The following is a 25,970-nucleotide window of genomic DNA, read 5'->3' as shown; positions in this document are numbered from 1 at the left end:
GAAACCAGCCTGGCCAATGTGGTGAAACCCTGTCTCTACTAAAAATACAAAAATTAGCCGGGTGTGGTGACATGTGCCTGTAGCCCCAGCTACTCAGGAGGCTGAAGCACAAGAATTGTTTGAACCCAGGAGGCGAAGTTTGCAGTGAGCCCAGATCGCGCCACTGCACTCCAGCCTGGCCGAAAGAGTGAGACTCTATCTCAGAACAAAAACAAAAACAAAAACGAAACAAAACAAAAAACCACTTCAGTGAATATATTTCAGAGTATTTTAAAAAATAATTTCTAAAAATGGTTTTACTGAATCGAAAGCCTTTCCTTTTTTTTTTTTTTTGAAGACTTTTGATACTTATTACTAAATTTGTGTCCCCCAGGAGTCTTTTAAAATATTACCTGAATTTTTCTTTTGAAAATGGGTACAAAAGTGACCCATGTTTAAAAATTAAAGTGTCTGTGTGACTAACAAGCATATAAAAAATGCTTAACATCACTAATCATTAGAGAAATGAAAATCAAAACCACAATGAGATACCATCTCATGTCAGTCAGAATAGCTGTTACTAAAAAGTCAAAAAATAGCAGATGTTGGCAAGGTTTCAGAGAAATGGGACGCTTAAACACTGCTGGTGGGAATGTAAGTTAGTTCAGCCATTATGGAAGGCAGTGTGGCGATTTCTCAAAGAACTTAACACAGAAATACCATTCAACCCAACAGTCCCATTATTGGATATATGCCCAAAGGAATATAAATCATTCTACCATAAAGACACGTGCACACATATTCATCGCAGCACTATATGCAACAGCAAAGTCATGGAGTCAACCTCAATGCCCATCCGTGGTAGACTGGATAAAGAAAATCTGGTACATATTACACCATGGAATACGGTGTAGCCATAAAAAGGAATGAGATAATGTCCTTTGTAGCAACATGAATGGAACTGGAGGCCATAATCCTAAGTGAACTAACATGGGAATAGAAAACCAAATGTTCTCACTTCTAAGTGGGAGCTAAGCATTGATTACACACGGACACAAAGAAGGGAACAACAGACACTGGGGCTTACTTGATGATGGAGGGTGGGAGGAGAGAGAGGATCGAAAAAGTATCTATCAGGTACTATTCTTTTTACCTTGGTGATGAAACAACCTGTACACCAAGCCCCTGTGACACACAATTTACCTATATAACAACCATGCACATGTACCCCGAACCTAAAATAAAACTTAAAAAAAATTAAAGTGTCTGGTACGTAACTCCCCAGTAAATTTATTTTAAATCAGCTCTTTAGCTGATTTATGATTGTGTGTTAATTGTATCTAGCATTTGCATGGTTGTTAAGATGGATTGGAATCTGTTTGCTATGAAGTACAGTCAAAGGGAAATATTTATTTTTTCCCTTTCTTTTCTTTGACAAAGGAAAAACTGTCAGCCATAAAAGTCTTTTTTTTTTAAATAACTTATAGGTCAAAGAATTAGAAGAGCAACTAGAAAATGAAACACTCCACAAAGAAATACACAACCTCAAACAGCAACTGGAGCTTCTAGAGGAAGATAAAAAGGAATTGGAATTGAAATATCAGAATTCTGAAGAGAAAGCCAGAAATTTAAAGCACTCTGGTAAAAGCATTGAGTAGGCTACTATGTCTTACTATTAATCTTTGAATTACTCATGCCTAGTACAAAACCTGGCATATAGTTAGTCTAGAACATTTACTGAATGCTGTGGAAAAATACCAAGATTTGTTTTGAAATTCCTTAATTTCTAACCATTGCAATTCAGTAGAATAGCTGCTGTATTAAATAATTCAAAAATATTTAGACTAATTTTTTGGACTTAGAGCCCTTGTGAACATCATATACAGAATTTAGACACAGAGATACCGTTAGCCTAGGAAGACCAACTTTTCAGCATTTTTCAGAGCTTCAGAGATGAATGTTCATTATGTACTTTATTTTGTTCACTTAGAGTGCATTTTTAGAAAGAATTAAACTTTTTAAAAATACTGTCTTCATCTTTGGTGTTCATACTACCTTCATCTTTGGTGTCTAATAATACACATGAAATAATACTTTCTATATTGTACCTAACAATGAACTGGGCAACAATATATCTATTAAATGGAAAATCTTTAGAAACACCAGGGGATACTTAAATCAAAAGATTTATTCATTCAGTTCTAGAAGGCTTAACGGGAATGTGCGAGTTAGATTACTATACGGGCATATGTGTAAGTCTCTGTTGGAAGGTCGGTAATTTAAGAAGTCAGGTACATTCCCTTTATAATAGCTTCAATATTCACTTCAGATATTTTTGGTTAATTTTATACTAGAATTTTGAAACCTATGCAGAAGAACCATGTAGGCCTTTTTTCCTTCTAAAAGCATTCAGTGCTTTCTAATCCACAATGAAAATTGATTATAATTTATTTTTTAATTGATCCAAAATTAAGAAGTATTTCATTCTTTTTAGTGAATATCAGAGTAGCCTGTAGCCAAAGCCATCTTTATTATGAATAGAGGAGGCAGACACTGGAAATATATAAGGTTCAAATCTGAATGCCTTCTATTAATACTTATTATCTGCTGTGTGTGTACCCAGCCCTATCCTAGGAAACAATAAGAAATACAGAAGAAAAGAAACCATGCTTTTTGTCTTCAGAGAACTCAGATTCCCCTTGGAGGGATAGGTGCATGCACATAAAAAGACTAGAGGATTCTCAGTTTTGGAGAGCATAGCCCACACTGCCTATTTAAGTGTTGAGGGTAAATACAAATGGACAGATCCCTGAGGGTACACTCAGTCGGGGAAAGTGGAATGGCTGTGGATGGGGAGAGCTACCTCTGAGTGCCAACAGTATGCAGCACCTTTTACCCATTATCTCATAGGTATTAGCACCTGTGATATCAACTTAAGTTCAGTTCTTTGAAGTCAGGTGTTACGTCTCCTGTAGCACCATTCATAGGCACTTTCACATCATTGGTGCTTAGTAAAATGCCTTCCTCATGAAAGACTTGAAGGAATACGATACATTTCCAGAAATCTCTTCAAAAGAGCAAAAAGTTTCTGAGTTACAGATTTAGGAAGCTGAATCTGGTTAAAATCAAAGACTCTAGTATTTGCAGTTTTTGAAGGAAATTAAGCAGGGGAGAGAAGTATGCAGCTATTAAATTTCATTACTAAATGTCATCTTTAAAATTAATTCTTGGTCTGTACACTTTTAAAGTATTAACAATTTCTTAGTGTTTGAGTCATATACTTCGTTGTTAACAAATATTTCTTCAGCCTACTCCTTCCTACCCTTCAGCCATTGTTTTTAATTTTTTTCTTTTCTAAAGTTGTATATACAGCAAAAAGATAACATTTAATATTGATGGATAGGAGTCCTCTCTTGCATTAGCAATAGACTAGATAGTGAAAAGTTTAAAAAGGTCTGTAATTTCATATTGAAATTTCTAATTTTGCCTTAATAAAAAGAACTTACTTTTGAGAAAGGTTATGTTCTTTTTTTCACATGTATAAACAATGTTTAGTTGCTTATTTCAGCTCTCTTCTGAATGTTTGCTCTCTGTGCAGTTGATGAACTCCAGAAACGAGTGAACCAGTCTGAGAATTCAGTACCTCCACCACCTCCTCCTCCACCACCACTTCCCCCTCCACCTCCCAATCCTATCCGGTAAGCACATCCAGGAAGACTGCTCTGCATCAAATGTTCTTCTCCATCAGATTGTGCCATAAGAGGAGTCATCTTAAAAGCATGAAAGATACTAGCTGATGCTTCTCTTGGAAATTTTTCTAAAGGCCAGTGATATGGTTTGGTTGTGTCCCCACCCAAATTTCCTCTTGAATTGTAGCTCCCACAATTCTCACGTATCGTGGGAGGTAATTGAATCATGAGGGTGGGTCTTTCCATGCTATTCTCATGATAGTGAATCTCATGAGATCTGATGGTTTTATAAAGAGGAGTTCTCCTGCACAAGTTCTCTCTTCCCTGCTGCCATGTAAGATGTGACTTGCTTCTCCTTGCCTTCCGCCATGATTGTGAGGCCTCCCCAGCCATGTGGAACTGTGAGTCAATTAAACCTCTTTCCTTTATAATTACCGAGTCTCGGGTATATCTTTATTAGCAGCATGAGAATGGCCTAACAAGCCAATATATTATTCCCTTCTTGTAGTATACAAATTTCATTCAATAACATTAAGATTTCCTTTAATGGTAAGAACAAGGAATTTTGAGCTTTTCCAGAATGTGTTTACTTTTCTGTCTTGCTAATTCAAATTTGAAAAGCTGTGGTTTGTTCAATTATTTTAAAAATAAAAATACTAAATGAAAACGTAAACATGCTAATTGTTATAAACTAGTAATTAAACTAGAAGTATTAATTACTTTTATCCCTAACCTCATATTTATACCTTTAGTAATGCTAAGAGAGGAACCGTCCATAAGAAAGATAGATTATGTTTAAATTCTTGTGGCAGGAAGTCACATATGCAGACAGGAATTCGTATTTTCTGAAGCCTAAGGTGACATGATGGCATTATGTACATCACTTGAGCACAATACACACTAGGAGATTTAGAGTCAAATTTTGCCTTTTTTGTGGTTCCACATGCCACCATCTAGAATTACATAAGACAACCTCCTTGCCATGGTGACAGCTTACATGCTCATGTCATGATGTTAGCTGCTTTTGTATAATTTATTCTTTAACAAATGGCATTTTAAAACTTTTTCTAGGGTTTTTTTTTTTTTTAAACCTTTCATTAACTCATGTGATTTGTTTAATCCTTTCACACAGAGAGGCCATTTATTCATACTTTGCACCTTTGCTGATCCATCTGAATAGAATGCGTAGCATGTTCCTCCCACACAACTATGAAAATGGGACTTTGCCTTTTAAAAAGATTCTCATTAGTTTTCCTTACTGAGTAGGGTATGACATAATCTACTTTAAGCCATTGAAGTAGTTAAGGCAAAATAATTTTTACACGTGATCGATCCAAGAGTCAATTGAAAGAATTTCAGGTATTTTAAAATCTTTCTCTCCTGGGTAGCTAAATCTGTAGGAGATATTCTGGATTTGACATTTAAAATTGGAAATTCATCACTTTGATCTTTCTCTAAGGTCTGGGATTTTGAGCTGATAAGAAAGGTCACTTCTGTCCATGAAGAGGGAGAACGATTAAAAAGTAATTACAGTCTTGCTGTTGGCCTTTAATTTTTATTCTCAGAAATGTTGAGAGCCCCTAGAATTAAAAGTAAAGTATAACCTAAGTAGAATTTTTTTTCCCAAAGAGCACTTTACAGTTACGCTGAGAAACGAATGTTCAGGACTATTTGTGTCTCAAGTGTGAACTCTTTTATAAGGCTCTTTAAAGAAAATTTTATTGAATAATATGATTTTTATTTTAAGATGAATTTAAATAGTATAGGACATAATTTTTTAAAGAAAAGAGTTTTTTTTTTGTGAGGAGTGCTTTCTTGTCAAAGAGGTATATTTGCACATGTATTGAGTTTGAGTGGATTTTGAATTCACAAATCAAAGTTTTCTAACTTTGTTCCTGATCTATTTGTTTTATCCTGATGTAAATCATGGTTAGAAATGAAAGTGGGAAGAAAAAAAAAGACTAGGGCCTGTAGCTTAAGTGGCTTACTGCTTTTCCCTTCTCTTCCCACTCATTTGACTCCAAGAATAGATAGAAGAAAGAGGAAGAAGGCAAACCTTGGTCACTTTGTCCCAGTGGTAGTGAAAGTAGGACAGGTTCTATGCAGATATAGTTCATGGGGAGAGGGTTGAGGCTATTAAGTGCTTTTTTTAGAGAAACAGAACCAATAGAATGTGTATATCTATAGATACAGATATAGGCAGATATAAATACAGATTTATTATAAGGAGTTGGCTCATGTGATTATGGAGGCTGTCAAACCCCAAGATCTGTAGGGTGAGTTGGCAACTTGGACACCCAAAAGTGTCAATGGTGTGGTTCCAGGCTGAGTCTAAGGGCCTGAGAACTGGGAGAACCTATGGTGTAGTTTTATTCCAAAGTTTGACAGGCTCAAGACCCAGGAAGTGGCAGTGTTTCAGTTCAAGTTCGAAAGCAAGAAAAAGCCAATAACCCAGTTAGAAGGCAGTCAGGCAGGAGGAATTCCCTGTTAGTTGAGGGAGGATCAGCCTTGTTGTTCTAATTAGGCCTTCAAATGATTGGCTGAGGGCCACCCACCTCAGGGAGGACCATCTGCTTTACTCAGTCTACTGATTGAAATGTTAATGTCATCCACAACATCCTCATGGAAACACCAGAATAGTGTTTAACCAAGTATCTCAGGCACCCCGTGGCCCAGTCAGGTTGACACACAAAATAACTATCACAGTGGACATGACGAACACCTCTTGAAAAACTAACAGGTGAAGGCCGGGCGCAGTGGCTCACGCCTGTAATCCCAGCACTTTGGGAGGCCGAGGCGGGCGGATCACAAGGTCAGGAGATTGAGACCATCCTGGCTAACATGGTGAAACCCCGTCTCTACTAAAAATACAAAAAAAATTAGCCAGGCGTGGTGGGTGCCTGTAGTCCCAGCCACTTGGGAGGCTGAGGCAGGAGAATGGTGTGAACCTGGGAGGCAGAGCTTGCAGCGAGCCAAGATTGCGCCACTGCACTCCAGCCTGGGCGACAGAGCGAGACTCCATCTCAAAAAAAAAAAAAAAAAAAAAAAAAAAAATAGGTGAAAATTCTCCACTGAAATGTTCCATCTTGGGATGACACATGCCTGAAATTTTATTCATTCAATTGAAATGACAGTGAAATGGGGCAGTGATGGCCAGAGGTTTGAGTATGGGTCCCAGAGGTCTTGACCTAATCTCCTCTGGCCTGTGAGTCCTGCCTTCCCTGTAGTCTGAGTCCCATCTTGACTGTTGGTTTTAATATTGCAATGATTTTCCTTTGAGCACTGTATGTCTACAGCTTATGCTTCAACTCAGAGTCCTTTAAGCTAACACTTTCCATCATCTAGGTGGTTTATGCTAATAAACATATTCTTCTTCCCGTGTGTAAATATATATATAAGTACTCTGAGCAGTACAGATAAATTCCTGCTTCATCGTCTTTATGTACAATAATGTACACTTGCAAAATCTCACAGAACGAGAGGCGAGGTCAGTGCAGAGTGTGGTGCAAGGGTAAGGTGAGGCATCTGATTAGTGAGAACCCTCCTCACACCCAGCCCGCCATGGAGTGGTAACAAGTAGATTCAGCTGACAGAATGGAAAATTGAGCAAGTAAAGTTTGTTTTATTCTTTATAACTTCTAGAATAAAATGTGCTTATTTCAAAGTTCTGTGTAAATTAGAATTTCTAACTTTTGTGAAAATAATTTAATTCCATTTGGCCATTGCAAGCCCAAAGAAGAGAAACTAGACAAAGTCAGAAGCTCCATGATTGGTTCCCAAGCTAGATAGAGCAGGATGTGTTTTTTTCTTTTTACTATGCTTTATGGGAGATTATCCAGTGAGTTTGGGAATTTTAAGAAAAGGCAATTAGGAAGGGGATTAATAATATAAGCAAACGTAGAAGTGAAAAGTAAAAAAAAGCTAGAAATTAGAACGATTAAGAAACTGGAGGCTGGGCACAGTGGCTCACGCCTGTAATCCCAGCCTTTTGGGAGGCCAAGGCAGGAAGATTGCTTGAGGCCAGGAGTTCAGGACCAGCCTGGGCAACATGATGAGACCACTGCAAAAAATTAAAAAACATTAACCAGGAGTGGTGGTGTACCTGTAGTCCCAGCTACTCCAAAGGCTGAGGCAGTAAGATCAGTTGAGTGCAGGAGATCGGAGCTGCAATGAGTGGTGACTGTGCCCTTGTACTCCAGCATGGGCAACAGAGTGAGACCCTGTCTCAAAAAAAAAAAAAGGAAAGAAAGGAAGCATTGGGTGATGATATCTTCTGAACAGGTGTTACTCTGTATATCCATTTGCCCCTTTTCCTAAGGGCAATGTTATGCCTTTTTTATCCTCCAAGTATGTGTTTTCTATTGCTGGCTTCCTCAGGACTGTTTTGCAAATACAGTTCACCACACTGAGGACATTTATGATGCAGTTGAAAGAATTCAAAAATTCTTGATTCATTCATGTTTTGGTAAACATTTTATGGAGGAAATGATGCTATATGCAGATATGTACACAAGCCTATGTACAGTTTTAAAAGAATGTTAAAGTGAGCATCTATGTAATCACCCTCCAAATCAAGAAATAGGCAATACTGGTACCCTAATTCTTTCCTTTGATCCTTTTCCAAAGATAACCACCTTCCTCCCTAATTACTATCTTTTATGGTGATCATTTCCTTGCATTATTGAAGAAAAATTTTCTTGCCTAATATGTATCCCTAAACTATTGTAAATATCTGTATGGCCTGGTTTTGAACTTTATGTAATTGGAATTTTCATGTATCATTGTGATCTTGCTCTTTTTACTCTACATTATTATTATTTTTATTTTTTTTTTTGAGATGGAGTTTTGCTTTTGTTGCCCAGGCTGGAGTGCAATGGTGTGATCTTGGCTTACTGCAACTTCCGCCTCCCAGGTTCAAGCGATTCTCCTGCTCAGCTTCCCAAGTAGCTGGGATTACAGATGTCCGCCACCACGCCCAGCTAATTTTTTCATATTTTTAGTAGAGACAGGGTTTTGCCATGTTGGCCAGGCTGGTCTCGAACTCCTGACCTCAGGTGATCTGCCCACCTTGGCCTCCCAAAGTGCTGGGATTACACGTGTGAGCCACTGCACACGGCCTACTCTGTATTATTTTGTAAGATTCATCCATGTTGTGTAGCTTAAGTCTATTCATATTCAGTGATATATAATTCACTTTATGAAGGTCTCAGAATGTACTTATCCATTGTGGTGCTGATGGACATTTGAGTTATTACCAGTTCTGGGGAATTACGGAAATTCTTCATGAACATTCTTGTTCATGTATTCTGGTGCGCAAGTGCTTGCCTTTCTGTAGGATATATGGCAGTGGAATCACTGGCTCATAAGATACATATATTTTTGGCTCTACTAGATAATTACAAAGAGTTTTCCAGAGTGAAATGTACTATTAATTTATATATCCTGTTTGGTTTGGGAACTTCTGTTACTCCACAAACCCACTAACACTTGATATTATCAGATTTTTTTTGTCTATTTGATGAATGTATAGTGATATCCCAGTGTGGTTTTGTGTTTGCCTAATAGCTAATGAAGTCAAGTACCTCTTTTGTATATGTATTGGAAATTTGGACATCTTTTTTGGAGTTGCAAGGTTCTCTTCCATTTTGTCTTGAATTATGTGCTTTTTCTCATTGATCTGTAGAATTTCTTTATATATCCTTGTCTTTTTATTCTGCATAATATCAAAGGTTATAAAATTTTAGTATAGTCAAATTTATCATAATTTGATTTTACATAGATTTGTTTTTAAATGGACCAGAGAGAGAGTGATGTAAATATGTTTTATCCATAAGTATTTAGTCTACATCATGCTGATTCAGATGTTTTTATACCCATAGTTCACAAATAGATATTTACTGATAACATACACTTTTTACTGTGAAACATTCCCTAATTCTTTCATTCTTCCCTCCCCCTCTAACATAGTACATAGATAGCTGTTTCTGAATTTTATATATATGAGTATTGAAATTTTTTGTCTCTTTTCCTTTGTAAGTGTGTATGCATTTTATTATTATAGTAGTGTACTCTCTCCAATAATCAGTTTGGTTTTATACAGAAGAGGATGAGACGTGTTTCTCTTCTGTAAAGTGATGAAAAGTTTAATATTATTAAAAATGGAACGTAGACTACTTAGATTCTAGTTATATATTCATGCACCTATCAAAGAGTGAGATTTTTACTGGTTATTTAGGATCTAGGCATCCAGTAATCTCCTGTTGATCTTTTTCTTTCTCCCAAAGATCCCTCATGTCCATGATCCGGAAACGATCCCACCCCAGTGGCAGTGGTGCTAAGAAAGAAAAGGCAACTCAACCAGAAACAAGTAAGCATCACTTCTATTGGTGTAAGTGGTTGATGGTGTACCATTTTGGGGCAATTCACATATTTGTTAAGTTCTTTGACTATAAACATGTTGTTGGGAGAGTAGTATGAAGCACTGAACAGCTGTAAGAATGAACCAGTAACCGTCATTGCCTTCCTGTAGTTTATTATCTAGAGGAGATAAACACGCACACCTCACTGTAATAAGAGACATACTGGCAAATATATTTTCATTAAAGGTCAGGGTACCTTGGAGTGTACAGGAAAGAGAGGGAGTAATTCCAAATGAGGGATTTGGGGCAAGACTTCTTAGAGTTGGTAGCAAGTGACCTGGGACTTTATCAAGCACTTAGTATGTACTACTCCACTGTTGTGTGCTGGAGGTACACGATATAGAAGTTACATTCTAGTGTAACTAGGCAGGAAGTAAACAAGTAAATATGTAATTATTTAAATACAATTAAAGAGGAGTACACAGTGCTAGGAGATTGTGGAAGTGGACTGCTGGTGTCTGAAAATGATGTTCAAGCTGAGTAGTTGTGCCTTTAGAACATTGGGTGGGTTGGGTGGTGGTGTTTAGGGTAAAACCATTTTAAATAGAGGAGCAGTGGATTCAAAGGTCCAAAGTGTCCAGGAAGGAACTTGGCATATTAGGAAACTGAAAGAAAGTTGGTATGGCTGGAACATGGTGTCCAAGAGAGGAGGTCTAATAGGTAGGCAGGAGCCAGATTCTGGAGGTCAAGGTCAAGGTTCTGGCATTTCTCCTAAGAGCAGTAGAAATTTTAAGCAGAGGTATAACGTGATGAGAATTGTCCTTAAAAAAAAATCACCCTGGCTGCAGTGAGAGAACAGACTGTAACTGGATAAGGGTGGATGAGGGAAGACTATTGCAGTCATTCAGATGAATGTTGATGGTAGCTTACATGAGGGTAGTAGCAGCAGGGGTAGAGAGACATGCATGAATTCAGGAACTATTTAGGGAGGTAAAATTCACAGGACTCTGGTTCATTGGAGATCGAGATATACAGGACAATGATGAGATGGGACTGGAAGGAGAAGGGCCCTCCCATTGAGCAGAGCCAGCAAATGGCTAGATGCACTGGAGTCTGTTTGGTGTGCAGCCACAGTGACAGCAAAGGCTTAAAACAAGGAGGCCAGATCTTGGTCCCCTGTGCCTGCCGTTCTAATTCCATAGCCTCCGTGCAGATTCTGGGCAGATAGCTGGTGTGTTCCAGACTCTTCATCCTCCTCTTTATCGTATTTTGTTAGTATAAACAACATGGTAATGAGTAGCTCATTACCATGCATTGTGACAGCATTTTGCTTTAAATTCTGTTACTTTAAGGATTTAATGTCCCACTTCCTACCTCTACTCTGGCTGTGGTGTTTGAGTTATTTCCACCTCTCTCCCCCTGAGCAGATTGCAAGCTCTTTGAGGGTTTACTCTTCTTGGCAGCATCCCACTGCTTTCATGCATATTGAATGAATTGAAGTTTGGACTTAGTTTTTTTCTCTCTTAGCAGGAATCTTGCAGCACCATTACAAATGAAAGCTGATTTTCTCTCGTAAGAATTGGCTTTCTGTGCCTGCCTTCTGCAATCCTTTGGAATCTATTCCTCTGCACATTAATGGGGCTGAAAGGCAAATTCTGCATTGCACAAGCCATTGCAGGATTCTGAAGCAATTCCGCCTTTGGTGATTTGCTGGGTGGCCCTGCTCTTTGGTTACTGGCTATTAGCGTTTCCTGATGCTGTAATTTAAATTTTGTTTCATTTTTTTCGGGAGAGACAATTGATATATTTTAGAGGGTTGGGGGGAAATTGGAATAAAATGAATTTTCCTTCCAAGTAAATCACATCACCAACTTGTCAACTTTGATAGCACCTTAAATTAAAAAGAAAAATTATTCGAGAATTTCTTAACCCCCGGTTTTAGGACCTATACAGTTTTTCTTATTTATAATTCATGAAATGTGACAGTATTTTCTCCCACATCCTTGGGCTACCAGATTGCTATTTTGGGATTCTAAGTAGAGTTACCAATATAGAAGTTGCTCTTGAGATTTTAGAATGGAGCAACCCTAAAAAACACACAGCCTTGAATAATGCATACTGTACTCACACATGGCTGAAGCACTACCCTCCTTCTATCTGGCAAGGCAGTTATTTATAGTGTCTTGTTAATAGGTCACACTGAAAAAATAGTTGTTGAGTGAACAAATCAATAATTAAATGCATGATGAATTAATGTAAAGCATCAAACATTGGGATTCTCTGTGACACTTTGGGGTTTGCATTTATAACATAGTGACTGGTCTCACATTCACTGTGTTTTCTTTCTTAGGTTAGCATCTTATGATGGCTTTTAACTTACAGTTGGTAAGGTATTCAGAGTTTATTAGTAGGGAAACTTTTACTCCTTACTTATGGCTCTAAAAACTTCATTGTAAAGAAAGACTATAATATTTTATAGATAGTTTTAATAATTGAATGTAAGAGATCATTACACTCTGAAGATAATAACTCTGATTTTGACAAGAATGTATTTGTTAGGCCAGTTCTGGATTTCAGAAGTATGCCTACTGTTTATCATACATTTAGGTCATTAATTTGTTGATCTTTTCTTACTTCGCCGTGCCTTGATTTGCTAATCTGTAGAATGGGGATAATAGTATTTCCTATTTCACAGGATTGTTGTGAGAATTAGTGAGTCTCACAACATGAAAAGTGTTTACAGTAGTATCCAGCACAGAAAATACTCAAAATGTTAGCATGGAAAAACATGGAAAAGGTACTAGCCATCCTTTGGGAGGAGCAAAGGGAATCCTCATCCCACAGGTTCTTGTGATTATTGTAGCTAAGGAAATTTCTTTAACTTTATGACCTGATGTCAGATTTGAACTTAATTCGACTATAATGTATTCTTTAGAAATATGGTATATCATGGTGGCATAAGATTTTTTTTTTAATTACCTTTAAAAGAAAGTTAGTGAAAGAAATAGTAATCCTGTGGAATTTGGAAATTCATTTTCGTTTCTTCAAGGTAATAGCAGAAGGTTTTATTTAGTAATAAGATGATGGTCTTGTCTGTGGGTCTTTTTTTTTTTTATAAGGAACTAACTTATTTTTCAAGTGGGTCTTAAAATTTAAGCCCCAATTAATTACATGTAGCTTTCTGATCCAAGACTGACCTTGAAGCACTAACTCAAAGAGCATTTGATTTTATTTTCCTGTGGCAGTTCAATAACATTAGACCTGTTGTCTTCATTTGTCCCTTTTCTTTAATCTCCAGTATCCTGCATATTTCTATTGTCCCCTTGATTACATGCTTTTGTGAGACAATTACCAACTGTGTGATTGCAGAAAGAATTACAAAACATACCATGAGCTCTCTGTAGGTGATTCTTGCAGATTTATTAGAACTGCTTAATAGTTTAGAAGTTCGTATAGATTGCTTTTTGCTAGTTCAAAAACAGGGTCGGCAAGAGAGAAAGCTTGTGTAGCTAACCTAGCGTTGCTCTTGTATTGCGCCTGAGTAGGGAATCTGATAAGAATGATTCCTTTTCCTTAAAACCAATTAAGCCTTTACATTTGAAAAAGACTGAGAAATTAAAGCCTGGTTTATAATCTGTACACAATACAGATAGTGGCACGTCTCTGAATTATCACTATGATTCTGGCAAGCAAATATAAGAAACTACTTTAAATTCCTGCTATGTTAGATGCTGTAGCAGATTTGAATGGTGTTGACCATAATTCTCCATCTGTCTGCCTTAATTAGTTTTTGTATGGTGCATTTAATTGGGTTTCAGTCATTCCTTACAGAGTGCTAATCTGTTTGTAGGCGGTGTTCCTATCACCATGCAGCTCTTCCTAGTCTCAAAATGGCAGACTTTTTGAAAAATCAAATGTTTTAAAAATGTATTTTCTATGGTGAAACCCCGTCTCTACTAAAAATACAAAAATTAGCTGGGCGTAGTGACGCTTCTTGTAATCCCAGCTACTCGAGAGGCTGAGGCAGGAGAATTGCTTGAACCCGGGAGGTGGAGGTTGCAGTGAGCCGAGATCGTGCCATTGCACTCCAGCTCTGGGCGACAGAGCAAGACTCCATCTCAAAAAAAAAGTATTTTCTAAATTCTCAGGAATAAATCCCATACCGATACCAGATGCTTGAATGGCAGACTGGGTTTTATCTCCCTGGGTTTTGAGTAGGGTCAGCAAAAGCACTGTGTAGTTCACAACAGATACTCAGATATTGAGTGGGTGAGTGAATAAAGGAATGAATGATTGAATGAATGAATGAATTTCTACCCATCATAATTTACTTATCTGTCCCTTTGTTGATGTTTGTGAACCATCAGAAGAAGCTGCCCAAGAAAATGCTGCTTAAGGGCACATGGTTGATCAACCCACAGTTTAGTCATCTTTCATTTACTGGTAGATGAGTTCTAACTTTGGTGACCATGTTTCCCATGTTGCTTGGCAAAAGATACTTGTTTTGACTTCTGGATCTGAAAACTGTTGTTTAGATGTTGAGAGGTTTTAATTCTCAGCATTTCAATGGCTTCTGAGGTTGACAATTCTCTTTGAAGTTAGGACGGTATCAGAAAACCTAGGTTATACAGTGAATATAGCAGTGATCCCTTATTGTGGACTTGTACAGATGAGGGTAATGGAAACCTCTGGTCTCTCTTAGTTGCTCCCCTAGGCGCTTACACAAGAGGAATGGCTACCCAGGGTTGGAATGGAGTCTAGCCTTGTAGCAGAAAAAGAAGCCATAATCTAGGCCTCCTTATTGCAAAGCCTAATACTAGAGCTAATTAGCTCGGGGATGCAGTAGTGATTGCCTGGCATTTAGAAGCCAGCCTTTTGGGGTTTAGTCATTTCTACTCAGATAGTAAAAATATTAGTAGGCATTTAAAGCAGAAACTTCAGAAGCCAATAGTCAGTAGAAACTTGTTGAGTGCCCACCATATTGCCAGGCAGTGTAGAGTCTATTAAAGATGGTAATTGGAAGGTCCTTATTAGATAAACTCAAATATGTTGGCTGCAATGAGCTAGATGGAAGTAAACACAAGACCTAGAACTGCATTAATGGTGATAAATGTTCTGAAATGGTTCTGTGATTTTGGTCAAGCTATTCTACAAGAGAGACATTTCACTTTTCTGATCAATAAGTTTAAGTTCACCTCAGTTACATTCATCCAATTGATACACATCTCCACCTCTTTTTTATTTATTTATTTTTTTTGCAGCAAAATAGTGGCAACGTTAAACAATAGATAGTTGAATTTTAAAATCAAATGGAATTACCTAATTGCAATTATTGCTACATGTATATTTTCTTTTAACACTGACAATTTAAAAAGACTTGAGAAAGGTTTGCTTAAATGTTTCCTTTCCATGCGATTCATAAACAAAAGATGGCAGTTTAAAAATAGATTTTATTTATTTACTGTTTGTCTTTTGACTATAGACTTATTCCAACAAGAAAAACATCTGTTTCATCTTTTCTTCCCCCAGTGGATTTCTGGTAGTTGTTTCTTTTTTAGGCTGATTTCTTTGACATAGGATGTACAGTAAGTTGTAAAAACATCTTTGAGACAAAGATTATTTGGGATTAGGCACAAAGTTGGGATTTTAAAGACCTGGAGAAATGTGGACAAACGAACAAAGTCTACTTTGTTGACAGAGGCAAGACAATACTGACTTGGATCCAGGCTACAAATTTTTATAACTCTTATTTTTCTGATCAGATTTTTTCTCTAAAAGTTTTTTCTTTAAGTGTTGCTACCTGATAGCTGTTAACTAGTAAATTTTTAGTGTTCTGCAACTGTGAATGAAAAATGACTGTGATTAATTGCATAGTGTAATTTTTCCAAGTCACCAAAAATAGGAAGTAGCTGTTTTCTTGTAACATAAGAGGATTTATGTCTGTGTTCTTTGAACAGCTGAAGAAGTCACAGATCTAAAGAGGCAAGCAGTTGAAGAGATGATGGATAGAATTAAAAAGGGAGTTCATCTTAGACCCGTTAATCAGACAGCCAGACCGAAGACAAAGGTATGGAGTGACTGAATGCTTTTTTCCCTGTTTGATATTTCCTTTTTTAAATGTATAAATTTGAAATTTGATGAAAGCTGCATCAGGACCCACTGTCAGATCTTAGGATAAAGCTAATGTGTCACAAAAGCTTTTACTTCCACATAAGCATGTTTCAGGAGGACCCATGGTGAACCTAAATCAGTATAAAAAGGAAGCCATGTTATTTTGGGGGTGCTGTTGTCTCATTACGAGAGACAGTGATACGAACTGTTACACCAAACAAATAACAATTATCACATCCTTTCTTTTCTTTGATTCCTGATTCTTTTGTGTGATTCTACTGATTATCTGCTATGTGCCAGATGCTGTTTTAGGCACGAGGGATAAAGTACTGAACAAAATAGGCGAAAACCCTCGCCTTGCTGAGGCTTCTATTATAGTGGACGGAATCACATAATAACAACAGCAGAACAAAACTAGGACAACTCTGGGGAAAATAGTGAGACTTATATGATTGTTTTTCATTAATTTCACAAATGTTTTCCAAGTCACTTCGAGGAGAAAAACTCTCTCCTAAACTAGACCACAGCGAGCACTCCAGGATCTGTGAAGTTGCTTAGAGTCCCTTTCATGATCTCTCCCCTGCCTTTGTTTGTATATCCACTACATTTAAATAAGCCCAATAATAGTTTTAAACATTGTTCTTGAAAAATACTCTCTCTCCTCTCTAATTAGGTATGAACTGACCGGTTCTTCCTCTTCCTCCACTTCCTCTTCTTCCTTCGCCTTCTTCACTAACCTTTATGGTTTGGTTCTTTCTCCCTCTCAAGGCTGCCCTACCTCAACCGTGTGAACGTCCCCCAGTGTTATGACTTCAGTACACATTCTGAGGATTTTCTTTTTCTGTTCTTTTTTTTTTTTTTAGATGGAGTCTTACTCTGTCGCCAGGCTAGAGTGCAGTGGCGCAATCTCGGCTCACTGCAACCTCTGCCTCCCGTGTTCAAGCGATTCTCCTGCCTCAGCCTCCCAAGTAGCTGGAACTACAGGCGCATGCCACCATGCCCAGCTAATTTTTGTATTTTTAGTAAAGACAGGGTTTCACCGTGTTGGCCAGGATGGTCTCGATCTCTTGACTTCATGATCTGTCCACCTTGGCCTCCCAAAGTGTTGGGATTACAGGCATGAGCCACCATGCCCGGCCTCTGATGGGTTTTCTAAGTTGCCACTTTGTCACAGCCAGGCAAGATAGCCAGGCAAGGCGAGAGTGGCTATAGTGTGGGCTGTACATGGGAAAGGATTGGAAAGAGGGAAAGAATACTCAACTCCAAGAGTAAATTTACATCTAAGGAAACAGAAGCTTCAGCCAACCACGTAAAATAGTTCAGTCTTGTGCCAATTATCTGAAAGCAGTTTTCTAAGTAAAGGATGAAATGTAAAACTGGAGGAGAAGCTGAGTGTGTAGAATGATCTGGCACAGCTGGCCCAGTGCTGGTGTCTGGCAAGAGAGTGAAGAGCAGAGCTCTTGGAGTTGGGCCCTGGCACTGTCACCCAGCTTCCCCACACTTCTTCTCTTCAAGATGGGGATAGCACCTGCCTTATCTGACACATGGGGTTGTTGTCAAGATCAAATGGAATAAAGTGTGAAAATACTTTAAAATGCAAGGTCTGAGTGCCACCTTTGAAAAAGAATCCATTTTTATGACTTTCACATCACCACTAATTATGGAAAGAATAAGCAAAACCAAACTATTACTAGAGAAAAATACAATGCCATAAAGAAACAAAATTAGTTTTAGAAAGAAAAAAGTTGAAAACTTCTTAAATCATAAGCAATCAATGTTCCATACGTACTTTCGTTTTCAGAATATCACTTTGTGCTTTTTCTTTCTTCCCATGACTTCCTGCAGTTACACATTATTTAATGTCAATTCAAAATCTGGGAAGCAACTGAACAAGGATCAGTGGACAACTGGGTTTTTTGCTGGTAAATCTTGAACTGTGTAGATACAGTGCTGAATGACCTGGTCAATAACCTTTAAAACAAATTGTCACTGCATGCTTGAGGACAGACGTCTTCCCCTAGTACCATCAGGGCTTTCCTGAAATGTCACAAATGGCGACATTTTGTGGTCCAGGGTTCAAAAGGCTTGTGCAGTCAGAGGGCAGCCTGAGTGGCATGGCAGCACTTTTGGGTATGCCTAAAGGCAGGGCATTTGTTTGAACGTCACAGCTTATCACCTGAAGGGTTGACCTGCAGAAGTCAAGCCTGCCTTGAGAATATTAATTTAACCGCTTATTTTCAAAATTCCTTGGTGGTAGTGGTGGTGGTGGTGGTGGTGGTGCTAGTGTGGTTCAAATTAGTGTCTTAGTGCGTATGGACTGGCACTAAGGGCATGTGTATTTCACAGAAAATCTGCGCTATGAGAGCTGAATGCCTTAGTCAGCTTTGTACATGAGCAGCAAACCTCTCTCTTCTCTGTTTTTAAAATTTGAAGTAGGATCTTATTTTTAAATTGTTTTTGAGAGGAAAGGATTATAGGTTGCTGTTAATTAACTCTCATTTTTTTGATGAGAGAGAATATAACCTTACCTCTTTTCCAGGAATAAGAGGCTCAAGGGGTTCCTTTCACTATGTCTTGCAAGTTTCCCCTTCATCTCTATCCTTTGTGAAAGGAAGTGGTACGAGGGAGATCAGAAGTCTTTCCTGAACTTACTTTTCATGAGGTCCTCATGCTAAATTTTCCCTCCATTAAATTAGTTGAGTGATCTGCAGAGATCGTTAGGTATTGTGAGGCAGGCAAATCATACCCAGAATTTTACTTCAGATTATTTTGTCCATGGTATGGCCAGAAGAGAGCTGAGCTTGTAATCAAGACACCTAACTCAAATACTACCTGGCTGAAGCCTGACTTTCCTTCCAAGATGAGTGATTGGACTGCACCTCCTCTGAGGTCTTTGGCTGCTCTGGCAGCCAGCCATGCTAACTTTCTCCTGTAGCCAGGTTCTTTGCTGGTCCCTGCTCTCTCGACTCTGTCCTCTTGTGAAATTCTTACATGCCAGGCCCCTGTAAGCTGACCTCCTCCCATAGCTGGTGGAGCTGAGAGAGGTTTTCTGCCCTGTGGCTTGCTTCTGCTCTGCACTGCCTTGTTTCTAGTCTCTGCTTGCTGGCAGAGTCCAGCAATGCAGGTAGAGGACAGTTTATCCTAAGAAGCTCTGAATAATTTGGAATCAGATCTTTGAAATCCGATGTCTACCAAATCTTCTCTGTCTATGATAATAATCAAGAGGTAACAATATGGTATTTAGAAGAGGGTAGCTTGTCTCCTTTTGCTTTGAATATAACTTCTTATTTTTTGTTTAACTGCTACTTGAAAGCACTAACATGGCTAGTATTTTTTCCTAACCTTAAGACATAGTCCTAATTTAAAAATATATATAGTCATACATATTACCAATATAAGGCTACTAATAGTTTGCCATGTAAAAATCATTGTTTAGTATTTTTAAACTGAATTACTCAGTGATTTTTCTTTCTTATTAAAATTATAGCCAGAATCTTCGAAAGGCTGCGAAAGTGCAGTGGATGAACTAAAAGGAATACTGGTAAGAATAGATTTCAGTTTATTGTTTAGCTAATGGGGAAATGAAAGGAGAGTATTTTAAAATCTGTTTTTTGTGAATTGTTTGTGGTGTGTTTTATTCCCATTTACAATTAGCCTCATCTTTGGCCAGTTTATTTGATCGTGCTTACAGACTGCTCCATCACATATGTTAATAATTTTTCAAATAACACTGTGCTGTTTTTGTTCTAAAAGAGTGGTTACACTTTCACCAAAGTCATTGTTTCCTGTTCTTGCCCTCCAATCCTGGCATCACAGCTTGAAGATGAAGTGGCTGGCCATATGTAAGGGTCCGTACATGTTGATGAAAAACAGAAATATAATAGATGAATAATGCTTTACTTTGAAGCCTAAAAGGAGAATCCTAAATGTGAAGCTAAATTCCTCCCCAAATAGCTTCATATCAGGGTCACAGTCTGCCTTTCCTCACAGTCGAAACAATTATTTGATGATAAATTGAGGAATAAAATAAGAGGCCCTTTTTTTATGTTACTAGTTTTATTTTCTGACAGTTGGAGAGCATACTTTGTGTCCCTTCCTAGTCATATTTTTGCTTTTCAAACTGTGAGCTTTTGCCAATGGAATCAGCGGCTACTGCACTCTCCAGCAGTTGCTGTTAGAGACAGATGCCTCACTTAGAAAATGTTTCAGATACTAAGAGCTCTATTCTCAGATCCTGTTACGGTCCCAGTCCCAGTTATTATGCACAGTAAGTCAACAAACATGGGGGCGGAGGTACAAGACTGAATACTCCCATGTTTGTTGTTGCTGTGCCAATTATGCATTGCATGTAGACATCCACATAATTGTGGTAAACAAGATTATTTTCATCAAGCATGTCTTTAAACAGTAGACTTAACCCAGAATGGCTTAATTAGTTTGCTTTAGTTTTAAGTGAGTGGGATTAGCACTGAAGAGAGGTATATCACTGGCTAACAGTGGTGGCCTACCTACAGAATAGTGTATTAAAGCCATTGAAAAAGCATGTGGTGATTATCTAATAGATTCTTTGATCAGAAAAGTCTGTTATTCAGTGTTCTATTAAGGAGAACTCCCTATGACAGTCTCTTTTGTTGTGTTTGTGTTATAATGCTAATTCATGTTCATAAAGATGTCCTCTGGGGCACAGTTCTGGCCAACAGTGAAAGAGTAGACTATACTGAGTTTGACTTTTTAAAAATTAGGTTAATTTTGAAAATCAGACGTCTCTATGAGGTACATATGATAATATTTGATTAGCCAAGATATCCCATTCTCTGAGAATGCTGCATGGTAGCAAGTTTACTGAATTACAGCATTACTCTTAAATACCATATTCACCATAATTTTGTGCCACTTCAAGGAGAGAAATTTGTGAAATAATTTATAAGTTATAAAAAATTTTAAGACATCTTTTTTAGGGCAAATTGCCCCCATCCTTCTTGCCTTGGATCTATCTTTAGATCTCACTGCCTTACCTGGCATTAGTGTATCACTAGGAGTTACTACTCTGACAATATTACTTCTTTACATTAAGTTTTTTTAAAAGTAGAGCTCATGATCCTCTCCCCTACTCTCTGCCAAGTGGCAGTTCTCCTCTTCCCCCATAGAAGTTTCTTTGAGGAAGGATGGACTATTTGTAATTCCCTGTCACCTGGAGCCTATAAACCACACACATTCTTATAAGAAAGATAAAAAGAAAGCTCCTAGCTCGACCTGCCAGACATTTGGGTCTTTAGTGGTGCTTGTTGCTGGAGTTCAGACTGTTAGGATTATTGAAGTTAGTACCCTGTAAAGCACATGGTCCCAACCTCACAATCATGGCATGTAAGAAACAATTAAGATGGAACACGAAAAGCCTGCAGTTGTGTACTGAAAAACACAAGCACTGGTACCAGGGGTTATCAAGAAACCAAAAAACACTGTGTTCGGTTCTATTGTGGAACAGAACCAGAAAGAAGCTCAGTGTGGGTTATTTTTTGATGAAATGGAATGTGACCCAAGTTGTAAGACTTAGTGATTTGGCCTTCTGCTAAGTTAGCCCCCAGGTAGAAAACAAGTCTCTGGTTTGGGGGAGTTTCAAACCCCTATTCTATTTTCTGAGTTGAACAATTTTCAAGCCAATTTTTAATGTCTCAGTATTGACTGACCTCGTTTTTCCAAACCTACTTCCACTTAAGTTTTAAAGCTGGATATTTTGTAGATAAAAATATGTATAGTCCATTTCTCATAGTCACAAAAGGTTTTGAGGTTTAGGAAATGAAACCTTTTGAGTCACCTCAGTCACTTAGAAAGCCACTCTAAGTGACAGTGGTGATTGCTGAAGAATAGATTGATGCAAATCAAAATTCTCTTCTCAATTTCAGTTGGCTGTAAATCAAAGAACTAAAAGCAATTTTTAAAAAATTGTATTATGGGTCTTTTCCAGACATCTTCAGTTTTCCAAAATACCCAGAAATTTTTGAATAGTTAATTTTGCCTGACAATTAGATTAGTTAGTATTATGAACATTTAACTAACATGGGGCCTAAGGTTGTTAAATGACCACAGTGGTTTGAAGTAGAAAAAGAGTATTGGTTTGGGACTTGGGAAATCTAAGTTCTAGATCCAGCCCTATCAATGACTTATTGTGGGACCTGTCCCCAGACCCTGAGGCTCACTGAATTTGAATTCTCTTTTCTATAAAGTGAAGGAATTATATGTACCACAGTTTCTAAGTTAATTTCTGATTCTCAAATTTTATGATTCTAATATAAAGAGATAACTAAAATAGTCTTGGTATTTTATTAGCTGAGCTCTTCATCATTTCAGTTGAGAGTCATGCAGAAACCTTTCTTTCCTCCACAATTGCCCTTGTATTGAAAGTTTACTCATATGTTAGCTGAAGCCACCACATCCATCAGTAAATGGAGAAAGAAGTTGGGGATTCAAGGGTTAAAACATGGAAAATGGATTCCTTCAGTAATCAGGTATGATGAGAGAGTAGCTTACTACAGTCAAGAATTTGAGGAAATAATGCCATTATCCAAATAAAAAACTAGAAATTACTGTGAAAGATACATTCATCAATAAAAGATATCCTTGAAAGGTATGTATGTATGTATGTACGAACACACACATAAGTTTTCCTTGAATTAAATCAAGCCATTGAGAAAAACTACACAGTGTCCTTGCTATTGAAACAATGTAGTAGTTTTACAACTTATTTTAGTAGTGATGACCATGTGTTTTTCAAATATCTGTTTACAAATGATAGAGATGGTAAGTTTTTAAAAATTATAAATACAAATGATATGGGAATAGTTGTTGTAGTACTTTTTTCAAATGTAAAGTGGCTATGGTTCTATTTTCTGTATCTTGTCAGTATTGGTCATACCTTATGGTGTGACTCTTCTACACATAGAAGCATATCAGCAATGTTAAAGAAACAAACCAGATTTTAATGATAAAATAAGCCATTATAGTGTTACATGTGATGTGATAGTCCTTTTAATGTATTTACACAATAAATGAAAAATAAAAAGAGATACTTCTAAGGAAAAAATTATATGCCTAATTAAAATATGAGCCTTATTTAAGTCTTTTGCAAACCAGTTGATTAGGCAGCTGACAGCAAAATAATATAATCTCCTAATCTTGTTAGTCAGTTTCCTCCCTGACAACAGGTTACTTTTCTGTAACTTCAAGCAGTTAGGGAAAAAATTCCCTAAACAAAATAACATAATCTCTTAATAGAGGTTAATTATGAGATTTGTAACCATCTGATTTTACAAGCACCTTTTTTTTGTTTTACATGCTAAAGAAGAAACAAGGCTTCTTGTAAAAATGGCTAAAACAACCATTTTTAGCCAGTAGAATTATTAGAATCCTTCAGGTAGTTGGCAGGCAGGGAGGGAGCAGGATTAAGGCAAGTCCTTAGTGAGTTCAAACATTACAAAGGCTGGCAAGATTATTAGCCTTGGTGGACAAAAGCTGTCTTTTGACTCTGGCATGAAGTCTGGCAAGTTATACCAGACTTGAGGTTCTTATGTCCTCTGATCAAAAGATTATGTATGGTTCTCCTGCCTTCCCCTCCCTCCGCTGCCTCCCAAGTATGTGGCACAGTTGAGAAGGACCGTTTCTAAGAAATAATGGGCATCTCTGATGAAAGACTTGTTGATGTATTAAATCCTTATGTATCACTGAGAAATACGTCACCCAGTGTTCTGTACAAACACTTGACTAGTAATGGAGATGGAAAACCATAGCTCTCACTCTGTAACATACTTCCCGGAAGAGCCAGAGCAGGGAAACATGGATCTTCCTCTGTCTTCTTGAAAGCCAGTATCAGTTTCAGCAGGAGTACAGATTTATAGCATCTCTTGTTTCCTTCAGTGTCTTCTGGGCCCTGAATAATACATTAACTGTCTCCTGTGTTAGGAATGTGGAGTTAAGATGCCGACCCTTGCTTGCCTCTCTGTATGATTATAACTTTCCTTTCATACTGAAGTCAAGATGTGCTCAGTGCAGCCCTTCTTTGGGTCGGCCCCTGGAGAGCATTATGTGCCTCCTTTGACAGCTACGACGCCACGGACATCAGGTGTGCAGCCAGGGTCACCCTCTGAAGGATCAGTCACACATTTTTCAGTGCCGCTGTGACTTCAGTTTAGTAGCTTGTGGCTGCCATATAAAGATTTCCTTCTAAGGTGAGTTTAATATATCAATTCTCTTCTCCACCCAGTCAACACACATCACGTCTTAATCGTCGCTATGCAGGTACCTTCCCACTGATGAATTTCATATAGTCACCTCTTCCAGAAGTGTTCTTGTACTGTTCTTCTGAAACAAAAGCTAGCATTTACACCATCAATAGCATCTTCTTAAATGATCCAACACTCTGTCTTGTTGAAAATGTGCACATTTAAAAAATATTAATATATAGCAAATTCATTTTGTTTCATAATTCCATTCAAATTCTGGTAATGTTTTCATGGTTTGATTTTTATATTCTTTTGTATATTGTATTAAGACATTAACCTTTTTGTTTTTGTTTTGTTTTCACTTTAGGGGACACTTAACAAATCCACTAGTTCAAGAAGCTTAAAATCCCTTGACCCTGAAAACAGTGAAACTGAGTTAGAAAGGATTTTGCGTCGCAGAAAGGTGACAGCAGAAGCAGATAGCAGTAGTAAGCCGGTTTGAATTCTCCACAGTCCTTCTCTTCATCTCTGAAACATCTTCTTCTAAGTCTCTTTTTACATGAAACAATCTTTTAAAAAGTATTATTAAAATATTTGTTTTTAATGTGAGTGAGAAGTATGGGATGGGTAAAGATATTTATGGATATCTCATAAGAACTCTTAGATATTTTTATTTATTGGTGTGTTTACTTATTTGTAGGTAACCAGGCATTTATAGATCTGATTTGTTTAATGCAAGATGCCCTTGTGTAAAGACATTCAGGAAGAGATTCGGCAACAATATAGCATCAAGTACAGGCTCTGGAGCCAGACCACCCAAGTTTGAGTCCTAGTTCTCTTGTATACCAGCTGGTTGCCCTTAAGCAAATTACTGAACCTCTTTGTGCCTCAGTTTCTTCATCTATATAATGAGAATAATAAAAGCACTGCTTCATAGGATAATTCTAAAGATTAAGTCAGTAAGTGAAAAATGCTTAGCAATGTGCATGGCACAAAATGAGCACTCATTTAGTAGTTGCAGTAGAAATTACACATCAGTTACAAATGCAGGAAAATCATCTTTACTCTTTGTATCCATTAACTTACTGTGCCTGCCTGTGAACTGAGTGACTGGGAAATTCCAGCTCTGTCACTGACTATAATGTACCATCTGAGCGAGTCTGGAGCTCACAGTTTGCATTTGTGTGACATTAGGTCTGTATTAGGCCTCAAAATGTATCCCATAACTGTGCGTGTCTTCAGTGGTTTCATCAGCTCGGTCATGGGAATTAACGGAAACCTTTATGAGGTTTCCCCTTGTGACCAGGTAGGAAGCCGACTTCAAAAAACTACCTTAAAGTAAAATTAATCAGCAATCGCAGCTAATGGGCTGAAGCTTCTAGATTGAGTTCAGTCAGCTTCAAGTAGTCTATCGTAACAGTTTAAATCTGGAAAATGCTGAGTCACATTGACCAAATTTAAGTAGCAAGAATATTAAAGATGGGTTTTTGATCATCAAGTTCTCATGTTCAGAGAGAGATTTACTCAGACAATTGAGTAAATTGATTCCTTGAACCCAAAGTGGCTTAATACCAACCAAACTTTTATTATAAGAAGATGAAAATTTTCTTCTTTAA

The 25,970-nt window shown here is 37.7% G+C and overlaps 2 protein-coding genes across 6 annotated transcripts in view, besides 1 other annotated feature; one reads left to right on the top strand and one right to left on the bottom strand.

The window, feature by feature from the left end:
* The window catches only part of SHTN1 (shootin 1), a 245,110-nt gene that overhangs the window by 195,118 nt on the left and 24,022 nt on the right, over positions 1 to 25,970 (top strand). For 4 of the 5 annotated variants that reach the window (NM_001258298.2, NM_001127211.3, NM_001258300.1 and 1 more), the window contains 6 exons: positions 1,467 to 1,620; positions 3,578 to 3,677; positions 9,953 to 10,035; positions 15,985 to 16,094; positions 19,626 to 19,679; positions 24,722 to 24,842. In NM_001258298.2, coding sequence (NP_001245227.1) covers positions 1,467 to 1,620; positions 3,578 to 3,677; positions 9,953 to 10,035; positions 15,985 to 16,094; positions 19,626 to 19,679; positions 24,722 to 24,842 — 622 coding nt within the window. The remainder of the gene's footprint in view (positions 1 to 1,466; positions 1,621 to 3,577; positions 3,678 to 9,952; positions 10,036 to 15,984; positions 16,095 to 19,625; positions 19,680 to 24,721; positions 24,843 to 25,970) is intronic. The other variant, NM_018330.7, reaches the window with a different exon arrangement.
* Positions 19,094 to 25,970, bottom strand: part of ENO4 (enolase 4) — a 62,877-nt gene continuing 56,000 nt past the window's right edge. The window contains exon 14 of the mRNA XM_006717835.4: positions 19,094 to 19,970. Within this exon, the coding sequence (XP_006717898.1) occupies positions 19,897 to 19,970 (74 nt within the window). The 3' untranslated portion in view covers positions 19,094 to 19,896. The remainder of the gene's footprint in view (positions 19,971 to 25,970) is intronic.
* Positions 24,143 to 25,342: an enhancer, noted in NCBI's record as "CDK7 strongly-dependent group 2 enhancer chr10:118665638-118666837 (GRCh37/hg19 assembly coordinates)". NCBI's record gives its function as "activates an origin of replication core promoter dependent on BRD2, BRD4, P300/CBP, MED14 and CDK7 cofactors, with strong dependence on CDK7, by STARR-seq in HCT116 cells {active_cell/tissue: HCT116}" and the evidence as "EXISTENCE:reporter gene assay evidence [ECO:0000049][PMID:35650434]".

This window comes from Homo sapiens, chromosome 10 (genome assembly GCF_000001405.40).
Source record: "Homo sapiens chromosome 10, GRCh38.p14 Primary Assembly".
Classification (NCBI taxonomy): domain Eukaryota; kingdom Metazoa; phylum Chordata; class Mammalia; order Primates; family Hominidae; genus Homo; species Homo sapiens.
The sequence above is the reverse complement of the archived record's forward strand: the minus strand, read 5'-3'. Positions and strand labels throughout refer to the sequence as shown.